The 16585-nt window shown below is 35.0% G+C and overlaps 1 protein-coding gene across 40 annotated transcripts in view; it reads left to right on the top strand.

Moving 5' to 3' along the window:
* ATP2B1 (ATPase plasma membrane Ca2+ transporting 1) overlaps positions 1 to 16585 on the top strand; it is a 121318-nt gene that overhangs the window by 15247 nt on the left and 89486 nt on the right. For 4 of the 40 annotated variants that reach the window (NM_001366520.1, NM_001413059.1, NM_001413046.1 and 1 more), the window contains exon 2: positions 16304 to 16498. The exons of the other annotated variants lie outside the window; for them this stretch is intronic. The gene's annotated coding sequence lies outside the window, so the exon portion shown is untranslated. The remainder of the gene's footprint in view (positions 1 to 16303; positions 16499 to 16585) is intronic. 40 annotated transcript variants of the gene reach the window in all.

Below are 16585 nucleotides of genomic sequence, written 5' to 3'. Positions count from 1 at the left end.
TATGGGTATAAAAGGACGAAATGTATCAAATTAATTGTACCATGACATTCCTCTAATTTTGAGGTCAGTGGAAACCAGTCTTCTTGTCCTGGAATGTAACTTAGTGGACTAATCGCTATCTGGAATGCTACTGGAATGGGGAGGAATCAAAGAGAAAGCAGAAATAGAAGAAGAATGGAGAGAGGTGTAGGATAATTTTTCTCCCAGCCTAAGGCTATTATTTATCCAGTTTCCTGAACCATGTAAAACAAAGTAGAGAACCAGGAAATTGGCAGAAAAGCCCTCTAAGCCGCCAGAAGTTCATGAATCAAGACTCTCAGCACCTTACTCCACTTTAGGTGTTTACTTGCTGTATTTATTCATATTTTAAATACATTTTGATAACTGGTTTGCCAGCACACTGCAGATGAAAGAGAGCAAATTTCAGAAACTAGAAAGACTGTTTAGAATCAAGCACAAGTATCATAGGAACTAATTGAAAATTTACATTTTAGTGATGGAAAAGGAAGGTTTTTAAAGTAAAAAATAAGAATTCACAAAACTTAATAGGCATGGACAATTTGGTTAAAAAGCAACGGCTGTGTGCTGCTCTTCCTATCTGGAATGTCCTCATCCAAACTAGTCATTTTTTTAGGACTCATTATGAAGCTCCTTCATGAAGTTCTTCTGTCCTGTCCAGAAAGTTAGGTGCTTATCATTTAGATTATTCATTAAGTTAGTACTTAATAAATGAATGTGTCCAGTTAAACTCTGAGCCTTCTATACTGCTCCATTCCTCCTGTCACAATGGTTACTTCGTATCATAGCAGGAGTTCTTCCTGTGTTAAAGACATGCCCAACCTTTTCATTGTTTATGCCTTTGTAAATCATACTCCCCTTGCCTAAATATTACAAAATAGGACTCTTCATTCAAGACTCACTTTAAAAGTCAGTTCTTTGATAAGGCATTGCTGCAGCTTCCCTAGGCACAGTCATTTCCTTGTCTGTGTTGCCATCACTTCATATTCAGTATTTACTTAATTCTGAAATAACAGTTAGAAAATAAATTATTGGCTTAATACTAGTTGTAGGGAGTAAAATGAAAAATTAAGTATACATTCAGAAATACTTTACTGACAGAAGCATACAGTACATCCTCAGTGTGGCCAATAGGTTCTTGGACACTGCAACATTAAGTGAAATGATGTGTAACGAAACCAATTTTACCATAGACTAGTCGATATAAACAAGAGTTAAGTTCTTATGGCATATTTCTGGTCACAAAAACATTACCAAATATCTGATATTAAACATTGAAATAAGTAATTCCATACATACATTTAAGAAAGATTAATAAGACAACCCAATTTTTGGTGAATCAGTGAGTGACAGTGGTCATGGTAGGTAGTAGGTTAAATCAAAGAATAAATGTTTGCTAAGTGAAAATTGTAAGGAGCACCTCCTACCACACGAAGTTCAAAAACAATCATAAAAACAGCAAGCTTGCAGATTGCTCTCATACCACATCATTTCTTATAGAGCATTTGTATGATTATTGTATACTTTAGTAATTTTTATTTGACAATAATTTGTAATTATTAATTCATTTCTCTGATCTGCTGATTCCAGTTCAGGGTCATGAGTGGCCAGAGCCTCTCCCTGAAGCACATCTTTAGTATGTGGGAGAAAACCAGAATACCTGGAGAAAACCCATGCAGATATAGGGAGAAAGTGAAGATTCCACACAGTCGTCCCAGCCTGGAATTGATTTTGTTTTTTCTCATCAATGTCGTAATGAAACCATGTTAAATGAAATATTATTCAAGGATCTGCTGTCGTCTAGGCATAGTTCACTTTCTTCAATATAGAAAAATTTGAGTCTTAGCCTGAGTTTTAAGTCAACTAAATCATTTTGGCCATTGATTAAGAATAACATCATGGTAGCATGTTGCTTTTTTTTTTAACCTATGTTCTATGATCTTAACCTCTTTAGCAGCTTTGTCATTGACCTGTAACTTTGAAACTTAAAGTGTATAGGTTTCATTAGAATTTCCTACTGGTTAATCCCAGCTTTTTAATTGTCTTTGTGTTTTTAATTTTTATTTTTGTCCTTAATGTAATAGTGACCCTGAGTACTAATGCATGAAAAGGAAACACCATCCTTTCTTAGTTTGAAAATTCTGTGATTTTCTGAGTTGGCAAATTCTTTAATTGCTTTGCCTGACTTGTGACAGGCAATCTGTGTCTAAGCTAGCTTTTGGTTTCAGTGTTACTTCTTAATTATAGGCTTCTGAAAGATATTTTAAACAAAAATTAGGGATTCAAATTCCCATAGACTCAACATGGAAAAAGGGGTGGACTTTCCTGTTTTGTGGGCTAAGAATGCTGGGAAGTGGAAAGAATGATTATTTGAGTCGGAAATATGGCTCTTAAGTTTATCTGTTTGCAAATCTGTCTCCCTAGATAGACTCAGTTCTTTGTTGGGACCTAGCATAGTATGTGACATGTATTATAAGTCTTAACAAACTGAGTAATAATCCTGAGTGATCACTTTCTGGTTAATTATGTTTGACTTTTACAAATTATCTAGGATAAATTATGTGGTACATTGACAGAAGATTTTTGTGTAAAGTATTTAATAAAGGTTTGTCTTTATAATGACAAGTTTTAGCTTATGGCAAATATCTTATAACCCAATTCTGGTGAATAAATAAGTGTTTTTGACATGGAGAAGAGTTTGAGTATCATACTAATAACAGTCACAGACTTCAAACCATTGCTTTCCTTAAAGAAAATGGAGTTGGCTTATAGACTTTAATATTTGAGGTCATAAGGATAAAGAATCTGATTTTCTTTTTTAGTTAGAAGAGGACTGATTGTATCAGAAGCATGTTGCATGTAACAGTTGGTATCATTTAATCCATATAATAGCCCTCTAAATAGGATGATGATTTTTTTTTCCCTGTAGACAGAGAAATGAATCAGTTTACATGCCCAAATGCTGAATGGCAGAAAGGCATGTGGGCCCAGCTGTCTAACTCTAGTCCACTGCTCTTTCTGCTGTACACAGTTGAGCCTCTCACATGTTACTAGAAGTTTGAAATAATGTCAAAAACTAGATCGTTTTTCCTTTTTGGAATTAAAATGTTCTTGGATGATTCTTAAAGTGCTTGCCTAATTTACCCAAAGATTGATGGAAAATGTACAAGAGGCTAGGGATTTGGTTTATTCTTATTGATTCTAAATATTGACTGCAAAAAAGCCAGATTTAAATCCAGTTCTCCTTAGGTTGTGGGAATATTGTGCCACTCACTTAAAGTGACAAGCAGTGAAGATTTGATATTATCCTGATTTTAAAGGGAGAATTTATACTACCAGAAGTTTTAGGAGAAAATAGTAATTCTTGATTAAATGTGGTATTTCCAGTGATAGCAGGGGAAAATAGTTAAGGTCTGTAGTAGAAAAGCACAATAATCAAGATCTTAGAAAGCATTCATGTCAAAATTAGTAAGTGGTAAGTAATAAATGGTAAAATACGTGTTTATTAGTTTTTTTTTTTTAAAAAAAGCAAAACTGTTTAATTCAACTCACAAGAATGAGCAAGTTCTTTGGACTTAAGTTGTTGACATTCTGAGTTGATTCAGGGGATCCTGTATTACAAGACACTTTATTGCCTTGCCTCTGATAAACAACAGTATTTGTGATATAATTTTTACCGATGTCCCTATACTTAAAATGTGTGAGCTACCCACTTTATTAATAAGACTTTTATACAGAATTACTCTTAATGATAAATCTTCCAAAAAAAAAAAAGATTTGCCATCATTGAGGATATTTTCTTTAAAAAGTATCCCAGAGTATAAAGGAAATTTCAAAAAAGGAGAGCAAATGTTTTAAGCAATGGCAGCATTATTAGAATGATTTAAGTTAATTCTTGGTAGAAAAATAAACATTTATTAGGCTATATATGTTCTGGTATTTATTTTGAAATATCTGTTATTGCTTTATAGTCATACCACATAGTAAGCAGCATATAGGACAGAGTTTAGAGTATCTTAGCTATTCAGTAAAAGCTTACCACAAAGAATCCTAGCATACAGAAAGTTCATAACTGGGGTTTCTGCACATTTTATGCCTAAACTATAGAAAAGTAAAGCAATTGATAGGAATTTATTCAAAAGTTGAATTCTAGGTTTGTGTTAGGATTAGTAGGAATTCAATTCAGACCATTACAATTTCTGTATTTACAGTATCCTACAATGACATTTAATATTTAGAAAACATTTGCTAAACTTTTGATATTCAGAAAATATTTGCTAAACTTCTGTATACATGACTTTGTGTGTACTATGTGTATGAGGAAGGATAGGAGATGAAGGTGAGGATACAAAAGGTATCTCCCTTACTAGTTTCTAATATGTATGTTTAAAATAGACAAATGGAAGTCTACAAATATATAGCAAGTTAACAAATAGATAAGGAGTAAGAAGCCGTATTAAATATGGGCCAGATGTGGAATAAGGCAGCCCCAGAGCTGCAAATTGGGAATTTAGTGTTTTTAAATTCCCTCTCAGAGGCATGATGGTTGTTAGTGCATTTGTCTGGGGCCAGAAAGGCAGGCCAGATGGAAACGCCATTTTACAGTTCATTTCCAATGTTTTGTGAGTGTGGTAGGTTGGGAGACAGAGTGAGTTTATACTCAGCTGCTGGAAGACCCAATTTCCTTCTGAATCAAAGAAAGTTTAAATTTTATTTCGTGTTTACCTGCATTGTAAAATTACATTTCTTTGGAAACTGTTAATTTATGACACTAGGAAATCAGGACCAGATTGCCAGTGAATAATTTTTTTTAGTATGAGTGTCCTAAGTATTGTATAGGACATACATGGGATTAAAAAATTATTTGTTGATTATCTGAAATTTAAATTTAACTGGGTAGCTTGTATTTTATTTTGTAGCCCTGTTAGGACCTGACAAGAGAAGCTGAAATACAGACTGTATGTAAGTTGTAAAAAGAGTGCTAGCATTGAAAACAACGTCTAAAGAGCATCTGTTTATTGCCAATCAGAATAGGTGGTTTTTAGATTCACTGAAGTCAGTGAATGTGGTGAACTAAGGTTCTGAACTATCAAAGAGAATTTGATAATGAATCTAAATAACAACTAAGGTTGAGGCTTCTTCCTGTGTATTTTTTGGTAAAGGAACCTATAAGCAAAAGATACGATTAGCCCTAAGCTTACGGATGGCAAAACCAATATTTTATACTTGGACTGGGAGACATAAGGAAGATTTGGGGGATAGACAAAGAATTTTAGAGCTAGAAAAGTGCTTTGAAAACCTGGTCCAGCCCTTTCTTTAACAGATGAGAAGACTGAGTCCCAGGTACACAGCAACCTACCCCAAGACCCTGCAGTAAGGATCAAAGCCCAGATCTGACTCCCACCTTAGTGCCTGTTCCACTGTTCAATGTTTAGCTTTCCTAAACCGTGACAAAAGGAGTATTCATTCAACAAAGAATTTGAGTGCCAGCTGTATGTAGTGCCACCTATAGTTTCAGATACTAGGCTAGATTTTGGGGATAATATTGGCCAAAGCAGGTAGTCTCTGTCCTATATAAAATGAAATTTATTGTCTGTCCATTTATCATAGTGCTAAATGAGCAAGACTTAGGATAAAATAGTTTCATTAAAATGTACAGTCCAGAGCTAGAAGTCTGACTCCTGATCCCTGGAGCTCACTCCCCTATTCAGCAGTTTATAATAGTTGTGAAAAAATTTATGTGAGTCTCCAGATATTTTATAACCTAAAACATTTGTGCAGTTAATAGTTTGAACTGCTGCTTTATTTATAGTTCACTCAGTTATCCTCAGTAATGAAGAGTAACATTGATGAGACCTCAACAGTTACATGAAATGAAGTGCTGTAAATTCATCACCTGGCACAGTGAACAAAAATCTGACCTTGGCTGAAGGCTGTATCTTCTCCTTGGGTTAGATTCCTGCCTGCTGAGAGCCTTGGTGTGGAATGATGTCTAATTTATAAGAAAGTGAGTGCCTTTGGGTGCTTACATAGGAGCTCTGGATTTGTCAGCACTGTGGTCTTGATTTTCTTCTCCTCACCTGGAGGAGAGTGTTCTTACATGTTCTTGGTTTTAGTTTACTTTTGTTTTTGTTTTTAAATAACTATCTGATTTAGCATTCTACATATAACTAAATTGATGGAAAAGGTGATATTGCACATACTGTATGAGTTTTGCCTCCTAATTCACAGTCCAGTGAATTCTTGGATATGTTTTAATGGTTCCTGAATAAATATATGAAATATATTTTGTTTGATTTAAACGTTTAAAAAGTAAATATTATTGTAAGTTGTAAAATACTAACATTGCTGTTTAAGCAGCATTTATTTTAATCCCATGTTGAATTTAATCCCAAAATATTAGTATCTTTCTCTCTTAGTAAATAGAGTGTATGGAATAAAACTTAATGTTTCTTGTAGTGAGAAAGACACTAGGTGATTTGACCACTTTCTTGGCCTTACTGCCTAATAATTTGAAAGTACAGTTGTCCCTCAGTTTCCATGGGGGATTAATTCCAGGACCACCCCACCTCCACCCACCTAGATAGCAAAACCCACAGATGTTCAAGTACCTCATGTAAAATATGTTTGCATGTAACCTACACACATCCTCCCATATACAGAAATGCGTTGCAATTTCGTTATTGTGCAAATTCACACAGTGTACTACACAAACCTAGATGGTATAGCCTACTGCAGCCCCTAAGCTATGTGGCATAGCCTATTGCTTCTAGGCTGCAAACCCATATAGCATGTTACTGTACTAAATATTGTAGGCAGTGTAACACGACAGTAAATGTTTGTGTATCTAAACATAAAAGCGTTACAGTAAAAATTGGTATTATAATCTTATGGGACCATTATCAAATCTGTGGTTTGTCCTTGTTGACCGAAACGTTATGCAGTGCATGGCTGTACTTTAATCATCTCTAGATTGCTTATAATACCTAACATAATTAAATGCTATGTAAATAGTTGTTATGCTGTATTGTTCAGGGAATAACGACAAGAAAAACATGTCTGTAAATGCTCAGACACATCCTTTTTTTTCCCCCCGAATATTTTCTATTCGTGGTTGGTTGGATACAGAACCCACAGATAGAGAGGGTCAACTGTATTAGTAACCCCAGGAGGAGTATTATATTAAAGGAATTATAGATATATGGTAGAGACAGGATCTATATATTTTTATCTGGACTAATACTCAGTTTTCTCTTAATGTGTATGTGGCCACTGTAATAACACTTATTGTCACTTTAATATAAATTTATGTGCATCTGTGCATGTTTATACACCATATACATGAATCATGTAATTTCAGGTTGAGAATGAACATAAATATGCCATGCACCGATGTAGGCATAGTGAAACATGGAAATGGCCTTTGTCCAGAGAGTGCTCTTAGACCAGTTAGGTTGTTTATCAGTATGATTAGTTGGCCATAACATTCATTTATTACAGTAGTATTTCTTAAGAGTATACTCACTGTAAAACAAATTTTGCTAAAATTTCCTTGGGAAATTTTTTGGAAGGTTTAATGATAATGTTGCGTAACATTGGATAAAAGGCAAAATACAGTTATGGTTTTAAAAATTCTAACTACAAAGTAAAATAAAAGTGAGTGTACGCAAAAGCATATCAGTATCTGGCATTCTTGTAGTAGGGGAGAAGAGAGGAAAGGAATTTGAGAAGGGGGTCTGGTCTTTGCTTAGGGTAAAGAGTAAATCAAATTACAATGGATTGTAGATATTGGAACTGCATTATTTAGTACTTGGAAATACATTTCTAACAGCTTAAGCTGGATATACTTTTGGTTTATCTTCTCAAGGGATTAGGGTATAAAATAATCCATCATCTAAAAATGGTGAAAGATTGCCTTGAAGAACACATGCTGAAGGAAATTTTAGAAAATTTTCTTTCTTTAAAAATGGTAGTGTTTTCATTCCATACCTGGAGATAAAAAGTATATTAAAATTAAATAATGTCCGAAGCAAAAGTGGATCTGTTAGTCTGCTAGGGCTCCATAACAGAATGCTACAGACAAGGTGGCTTAAACAACAGAAATTTATTTTCTCATAGTTCTGGAGTTTGGAATTCCAAGATCAAGGTGTCAGCAAGGTAAGTTTTCTCCTGAGGCCTCTCTCCTTGGCTTGCTGATGGCCTTCTTCTTGCTGTGTCCTCATATGGCCTTTTTGCTGGTATCTCTTCTTAAGGACACCAGTTCTATTGGATTAGGGTCCCACCCATAAGACCTGTTTTAATGCTTAATTACCTCTTAAGACCTTATTGCCAAATATGGTCACATTGGAATTTAAGGCTTTAACATAGGAATTTTAGGGGGACACAATCCAGTCCATAATAGAGAAAGCAAAGAAATTCACACTAAAATGTAATTTTAGTCAACTAAAACATGGTTCTCAAACTTTAGCATGCACCAGAATCACTTGGAAGGCTTGGTGAGGCCACACCCCCAGAGTTTCTGACTTAAGAGGTCTGGAGTGGGTCTGAGAATTTGCATTTCTGCCAAGCTCCATGGTGATGCTGATACTGCTAGTCTGGGGACCATACTTTGAGAGTCACTGATTTCATATTTACTGTTTGGATTGAAAGAAGTTGTTGAAGAAAGCCCCTGAAATAAGGGAAACTGTCCTGAGGATGGGGGAGGGAGGATAGTGACCAGAGGGATTGCAGTGGGAAATAGAAGACACAGTGGACATGTTGGTGAAACATTGATTTCGTTTACCCATAGTTACGTTTCCCAATTCAGTGAGTTGAAGAGATCCTTTGATTGGAGGTTAAAAGCAAGCACTTCTGTTGTCTGTTACAAGAGGAAAAATGACTCTAGGCTTTATTATAAGGAACTTAAGTCCCAGACTACTTATCACCTCATTTAGATTTTTGGTCAAATGTCCCACTCTTGGTAAGGCACTCCCTTGATCATCCTGCTAAATTGCATCTATGAATGACTGTCACAATAAAATACGGCAATGGCGGAGGCTACATTGAGAAATACAAATTAGGTAGACTGGTGCCTGAAGCTTGGAATTTAGAGTTTACTTAATTTCAACAAACTTTTTGAGTTTAAAGTATAGGCAATTACTAAAATTGGATTGTGCTCCAAAAGTTCTCTTTCATTGGTTTAGAAATTGAAATGAATTTTTCTGTAGAAATACAACTGTAAACAATGGTCAAGGAAATTCTAAAAGGAAATGAAATCGCTCATATTAGTAAAATGAGACATGGGGGTCCTGTTTAGATTAATATGGGTTAATAGGCAAGAGGGAGAGAAGCCAAGTTTCTCTCCGCTGTCCAATCTCAAATGGTCCAAAAGGAAAAGATTAAGTTTTAGACAGTAAACATAAAGCTCTGCATTACCTGCTCTAAAATAACTCACTTTTTTTCATTTAAAAATTACTCTTTTCTTGGTGTGGCTGATTTTAGCTGAGTGCTGAAACAGTCCTAATTTGTTATGTAGTCTGAATGACCACTATTTCCCTAATCCTTCAGAGGTTCTTGTGTTTTAAGAAGTGGATAGGCATGTGTATGTTGTCTGTATATGTGTGTATAGCTGTGTATAAATATATATGAAACATGAGTTCATACTGATAGCTCCACTTCCAGTCCAGTTTACAGGGTTCTTCCTTGCCTTCCCCTCATCCCATTTTTGTCTTTATTCTTCCATAGCGAGAATGGTAGCTCCCAGCGTTAGCACATTTAATTCTTGGCCCTCTGCCCCAACCCAGTTTGTTTCAATTTTACATTTTGAATATGTAGAACATTAATGTGCTTATAAAAGTTCAGAACTGCCAACACAAAAAATGTACAGTCAGTCCTTTCCTTTTCTACTTTCCCGTCCCTGCTCTTTTTGTAAGTAACCAATTTTCATGTTTTTTGATTTATTATTTCTGTGTTTCTTTTCCAAAAATAGACATGTATGTTTTCTTATTTCTTCTTTCTTACACAGAAAGTAGCATGTGTTTTGTACTTTGCTTTTTTTCCCCCCTAATGGATATATCTTGGAAATTCCACCATATTGACTTGTAGACATTGTCCTCATTCTTTTTTACAGCTGTATGGTATTTGGCCATTCTGCATATTCCAAACGTTAGGATATTCAAGTAGTTTCCAGCATTTTGAATTTATTAATAATGCTGCAATGAAAAACTTGGTTCATTTGTATTTTCATAGTGCTAAGGTTTATCTTCGAAGTGGATTCCTGGAATTGAGATTGCTGGAATGAAGGGTAAATTAATATATAGTTTTATTAGTTATTGTCAGATTCCCTTCTCTAGCAATCCGTTACTGCATAACAGACCACCCCAAACTTAATTGTGTAAAACAGTTGTTTTATTATGCTCCTGGATCCTCAGTCAGAAATTTGGGTTGGGGACATCGGGGTGACTTGTTCTCTCCTCTACACTGTCTGGAACTTTCATGGGAAAATCTCAAATGACCGGGGGCTGGATAGAATAGTTACGGGCTAGAATTACATGTTGATTTCTTCATTCATATCTGGTGCCTAGGCTGGGATGACTGCTGATATTGGGCTCAGTTTAGACTGTCAACCAGACATGTACACATGGCCTCTCTTTGTAGCTTACGCTTCTTTACGGAATTGGGAGCCTGATTTCTGATAGGGCATATCCGAAGAGTGGGCATTCCAAGACAGTCAGACAGAAGCTGACCTGGCTTCAAGTCCCATAATGTTGCTTCTGTGATATTCTTTTGGCCAAAGCAGTACTAAGTCTGCCCAGATTCAAGTGTAGGGACATAGACTACAACCTCTCCACATGGCTGTGTAAAAGAAAAATTGTGACTAAGTTTTAAAATTGCCATATGACATTTTACATACATTGCTGGTGAATTGATTGTTTCCCCCAAACCTTGCCAAACAGTATTTTCTGGCTTTTGAACTTTCATTAATGTGAATGATGAGAGATGATATTTTCAGCATAGTTTTAATTTGCATTTCTCTTTTGAGTGAAGTTGAACATCTTATTTTTTAAGGGCTATTTTTATATTTTGGTGAATTGTCTATGGCTTTCAATCATTCTTCTTTAGGAGATTTGATTCTTTTTTCCCTCAACTTAAAACATTTATTTTATGTATTAGGGAAAGTAGCCCTTTTTCTGTGATATTGGTAATATTTTCTCCAAATTTGTTACTTCTGTCTCATCTTTGCTTATGTTGTGTTTTGCCATGCAGAAGTTTAATTTTGTGGTCAAATTTATCACGCTTATGTAATACCTCTGATTTTTAAGTCACAGTTAAACCTTACCCTGTACTCCGATTACAGAGTGGTTCACCTATGTTTTCTTCTAATTCTTGTGTAGTTTCATTGCTTTGTTCCATTTGGAATTTATTCTGATGTGGTATAAGAAATTGATCTAATTTCATCTTTGAATGACTGTTCAGTAGTCCCAACACAGTTTATGGAAAAGTCCATTTTTGCTTCCTCTCCCTCACAAATGATTTAAGCTACTACCATTGTCATATATTTATTTCTGTATGTAGTTAGATCTGTTTCTGGACTTTCTATTTCAGTCCATTGGTCTTTTTATCTATCATTGCCATACTGTTTTATTCATAGGGACTTTACAGTGTATTTTAGTATCTGGTAGAGCTAATATTTCCATCATCTTTATTCTTCGCTGTGGTTTCTTGGCTATTTTTGCATGTTTCGTTTCCCCTAAACGAAAACTAAACTAAACACCAGCTTGTTTAGTTTCAGGAAAAAAGCTTGTTGTTTTTATTAGGCTTGCATTAAATTTACAAATTGACTTAGAGAAGTCCTAATCATGACAAAGAATGTCTCTCTTTGTTTAAGTCTACCATGTTATATTTCAGGTGTTTTTACAGTTTTCTTTATATAGATTTTGAACATTTCTTGTTATATTTATTCATAAGTGTCTTTAATCTTTTTTGGTTGCTATCGTGGTGGAGTTTTCTGTTATATTTTGTAATTGGTTATTAGTTGTGTATATAAAGGCTATTTTATGTATGTTTTGATTTTTATATTTAGTTGTTTCATTGAATTAATTTTCATTGGCTCTCAGTCCGTGATATTCAAGGTCTACTATTATGTCATCTGTAGAGATCATTTTTCCTTCCTAATTCTTATGTTTCTAGTTGTTTTCTTTTGTCTAATTCTTCACTGGTATCTTTAGAATGATGTTAAATAGTAGTGGAACTAGCAGGCATCCTTTGCCTTGTATATTAAATGCCTCTAGTTTTCCCCATTAATTAAGATAATTGACTTTAGAACTGAGGTGGATATAATTTATAATGTAAAGTACTCATTTATTTCTGTTTACCAGATTTTCTAATATTGGACTATATATTCCTGGTATAAATTCCACTTGATCATGGTATATTTTTTCTTCATGCCATTTGGAGACTATTTGCAGAAATCCTAACTAAAATATTAGCATCAATTTTTGTAAGTAATGTTGGTCTAAATTTTCTCTTTATTAGGTTTAGATGTCAGTGTTTATTTGCTTCATAAGAAACTTGCATTAGCTGGGCGTGGTGGTACACGTCTGTAATCCCAGCCACTCAGGAGGCTGAGGCACGAGAATCACTTGAGTCTGGGAGGCGGAGGTTGCAGTGAGCCAAGATCACGCCACTGCACTCCAGCCTGGGTGACAGAGTGAGACTGTGTCTCAAAAAAAAAAAAAAAATTTATAGGGATTTTTCTTTGCAACATTTTCTGTTTCATCTGTCTCTGTTATGGTCAGTTTTGGTAAGCTGTATTTTCTTAAGAAATTATTTCATTTAGGTTTTAAGATTTATTTTCATAGAAGTCTTTAATCTCTTATTTTGGGGGATTTCCTCTTCTGTCATTTTTATTCAGTATATCTGTGCATTTTTCCTACGTTATCAGCATGTGTATAACATATGCATTCTTTTCTTTTTACCGTGTTCCACTTTAGTTTTAGTCCTACGATTAACTATATTAAATGCTTGCCATTAGTCATTTTGCTAAAGCTTCCCAGATTAGCTCTTAGTTGGATGAATTTCACTCTCTAATAAATTCCTTAGGAATGCTCCAATGTATTGCTGAGTTCTTGTACATTCGAAACTGTTTCTCTTTTTGTATACTTAATGCTTGAAGGAAAGCTCAGCTCCCACATTCTGAAGTTTCTTGAAAATGCTGTTCCGTGGTTATCTTTCTTTGTATGTTTTTGAAGTCTAGTTTTCTTACTTTTTAAAGTAATGTTTGTTTTTTTGTTCGGATGCTCTGGGGATTTTTTTTTAATCTTTAAACTAGTTTAGTACATGTCTTGAAGTAGATTGTTCTAGGTCCAGTTTTCCGGATATACAGTGGACCCTTTCATTATGCTGGTTTAGATTGCCTCTTCTATGTGGAAAGATTTCTTGAATTATAGTTTTTAAATACTAGTTCTGTTCCGTTGTTTCTGAAAAGACTCCAGTTATACAGTGTTGGATCTCTTGCACATTTTCTGTTTCAGCTACTACCTCTTGACCCTTACTCCTTTTTTAAAAAATCTAATTTTCATTCTCTTATTTTTCTTAATTTCTTCAGTGACCCTTGCTAGATTTTCTACTCGAAATCCGTTCTCCAATGAGCATTTTGTAATTCTTAATTTCCAAAATAATTTTGTCTTTTTTCTTTCAATTTCCTCCCTGAGAATGATCAGGTGTCATTGTATTTCTTCCTGGATTTGTGTTCATCTCTCTTTTTAGTTTTTGAATTTTTGGTTCCAGGTGATTTTTGTTTCTGTTGTTAATATCTGCAAATACTTGCTTGAGTATTTAATTTAATTTGAAGTATTGCTTTACAGTTTTCTTCCATTTTGTGGAGTGTGTTTGGGGCAGGGGGTGATTGTTTTGTGGAGAGAATGTTCATCAGCTGAAATGTGATTTGCATTTTCTGTTTTCTTCCTCCAGTTCCTTTTCTATGGAGTTGGCTTGATTTTTATTTTCTTTTATTCCTTGGTAGTTTGTGAACTAGGTTCTTAGTTTAAGAATGCTTATTGTCAAAATAGTGAAGTACATCTTTTTAATGGATAATGATGGTAGTGAAGAGGAGGCAGGAGTTTATGTGTCTTTCTCTTTGGTTTCTATAAGATCCTTAATTTTCTCTTCTTTTCCTTTACTGCCATATCTCCAAGGGACACCTCCCTTCTCTGTTTATCTTCTCCCCCAGAAGCCCTAATTGTGCCTGCCATTTCCGCTGCTATTCCCTTTCAATCTCTTGTATAGCTGATATTGTGAAATATCAAATTCTAGTATTTAGTATTTTGTCAGTGTGTGTTGGACTTTCTTTTCTATGGGTGATTTTGTCTGTACTTCCTCTATGTCCTTTGGTCCCCTTTTCTCTTTTGTCATAGAGTCTTAAGCCTCCCCTCTCCTACGATGTACCCTCAGATTTGCATTGGCCAAGGGAGTTTTGTTGGATTTTGGCATTTATTTCTCTACTTACAGGTAATTTGAAGTTTGTGGTACTCCACTTGCTGTTAATACTGGAGGCTACCTATGGTTTTATTTGTACTTCTTATGATATTGTGCTTTTTGGGGGAAAAGAGAGATTGGGATCAGGCTACTGCCATTATCCTTCTGGCTCAGAAGTTCCACAGGAGCTTTTTAAAATCAAGATTAAGTCTTGGTCCTGGAGACTGATTCCAACGGTATGAAGTGAATTTTTTAAAAGACTAGTTCCATTATGTGGATATAGAGCTAATTTTAGCAACTGGTTGCCTTAGACCAGGGAGAGGCCAATATTTTTGTAAAGGGTCAGATATTAAATATTTTAGGCTTTGAGGACTATCTTTGTTGTGTATTCTTCATTTTTAAGCCTTTAAGATGTGAAATAATAAAATAAAAATTCTTAGTCTTTGGCTGTGCAAACTCAGGCTGTGGGTGATTTTGGCCAACCTCTGCCTTAGACCACCTTCAAAAGTCCTTTTTTTTCCAAAAGCTTGGCTTAAAAGTTATTGTAATGTTTACCTTTTTCTGAGAGCCTAAAATAGTGATTTTTTTTTTAATGCCTTAAGTAGCTTTGGATCTACTCTGGAGCATAAACCAAGAGGTACAAACTAGAAAACATAGAAGTAACAATATGAAATGGGAAATGTAAATGTAGTTGTTACCATTTAGATGCTTCAGCAACAGAGGAACTTTATATTATTCCTGTAAAACACCTAACTTTACGAACACTGTGGATGCCTAGCATATTGACCACCACAATGAGTAGCAGCTAGTATGCATGTAAATGTGCGAATGAGAAGTTCTTGGAGAATAAGTTGCAAATGGCCCTCCAGAGTTGTTTAAATTTTAAAAATTTATGTCAAAACGATTTTGACTTTTGCATGGCTGAAATTGAGCCTTTCTGGCAGTATACAGGTTCAATTGCTTCTTAAGGCAAGTCTTGATTTTTGTTAGTAAGACACATGCAAAATAGCTTCCTATTTGCCATGGCCAGAGGGCATATCCTTAGTCTTGAAGCTGTATCCCATTGTCTAAATATATTGGAGAAAGTGTGTGAAATCTTACTCTGTGTGTGACCATCTTTACTACTTCTGATTTTCCCCAGCAGCAGTAGTAAATAGTCATAAAACTCAAGGAGCCAAAGAGATCATTTCAGAAGAGTAAATAAGATGAATAACAGCATAGTGTTGAGAACAGATAAAGCTTAGTTTGCAGGCTCATTAGTCATTGAGCACCTCTGAATGTCACTCACTGACAGGTTCTCTCTACACCCACAAGAAGAAAACATGAAACGGAGGCCAAATGGCCACTTCAAAAAATATCATTTAATCCTTCTGTATTCCACGAGGGGATTGATTTCTATTATGGAATCACTATGGTTTGAAGTATGGGTTATTGGGGGTTTTTTAGGGAAAAGAAAGGCAGTATGTTACGCATCTTTAGTTTTTTGGTCACCAGTCATTTTATCTTCATTATTCATGGATGTGTAGTCAGTGTGTAAAAATCTTTTGTTAAGTAGGGGCCAGTTAGGTTAGTTTGTAGTGAACTGAAACCCTTGGATTTTTTTTTTAAATGATTTCTCCATTCTGTATATGTGTGTGTGTGTGTGTGTGTGTGTGTGTGTGTGTGTGTGTGTGTGTATATATATATATATATAATTCCTGCATGCCCCCAACCCCCTGAAATCCAAAGGCAGGATTTAGTATTTGTAAAATGTCATTTGTTCCTTTCTTTGTCCCATTCTGTGAACATCTAGTTACGGTATTTGAAACTTGTCTTTTATGCTTTCCTTTAGGTTTTTGATTAAAGAGTGAAAAGGATGAACATATAATTTAATTGGTATTCTACTACTGGTGGAATTCTGAATAGTCACACCCGATTTTATGATACTGTCTAAGAAGAAGAAAAGAACATTGGTATGAAGTTTGGTATCAGGAGAAATAAGCAAATGAAAAGAGTTGAAGGAACCAGTTTATGTATTTTTATGGAAGTAAGTAGTAGTATAATGTTACTTCCAGTACAGTTTTCCTTTGAAGGTAGTAGAGGAGGATGCAGAGAAGGGTACATTTGTTCTGTG

Source organism: Homo sapiens, chromosome 12 (genome assembly GCF_000001405.40).
Source record: "Homo sapiens chromosome 12, GRCh38.p14 Primary Assembly".
NCBI lineage: Eukaryota > Metazoa > Chordata > Mammalia > Primates > Hominidae > Homo > Homo sapiens.
Note: the sequence above shows the minus strand (reverse complement) of the source record. Positions and strands in the feature narration are given on the sequence as shown.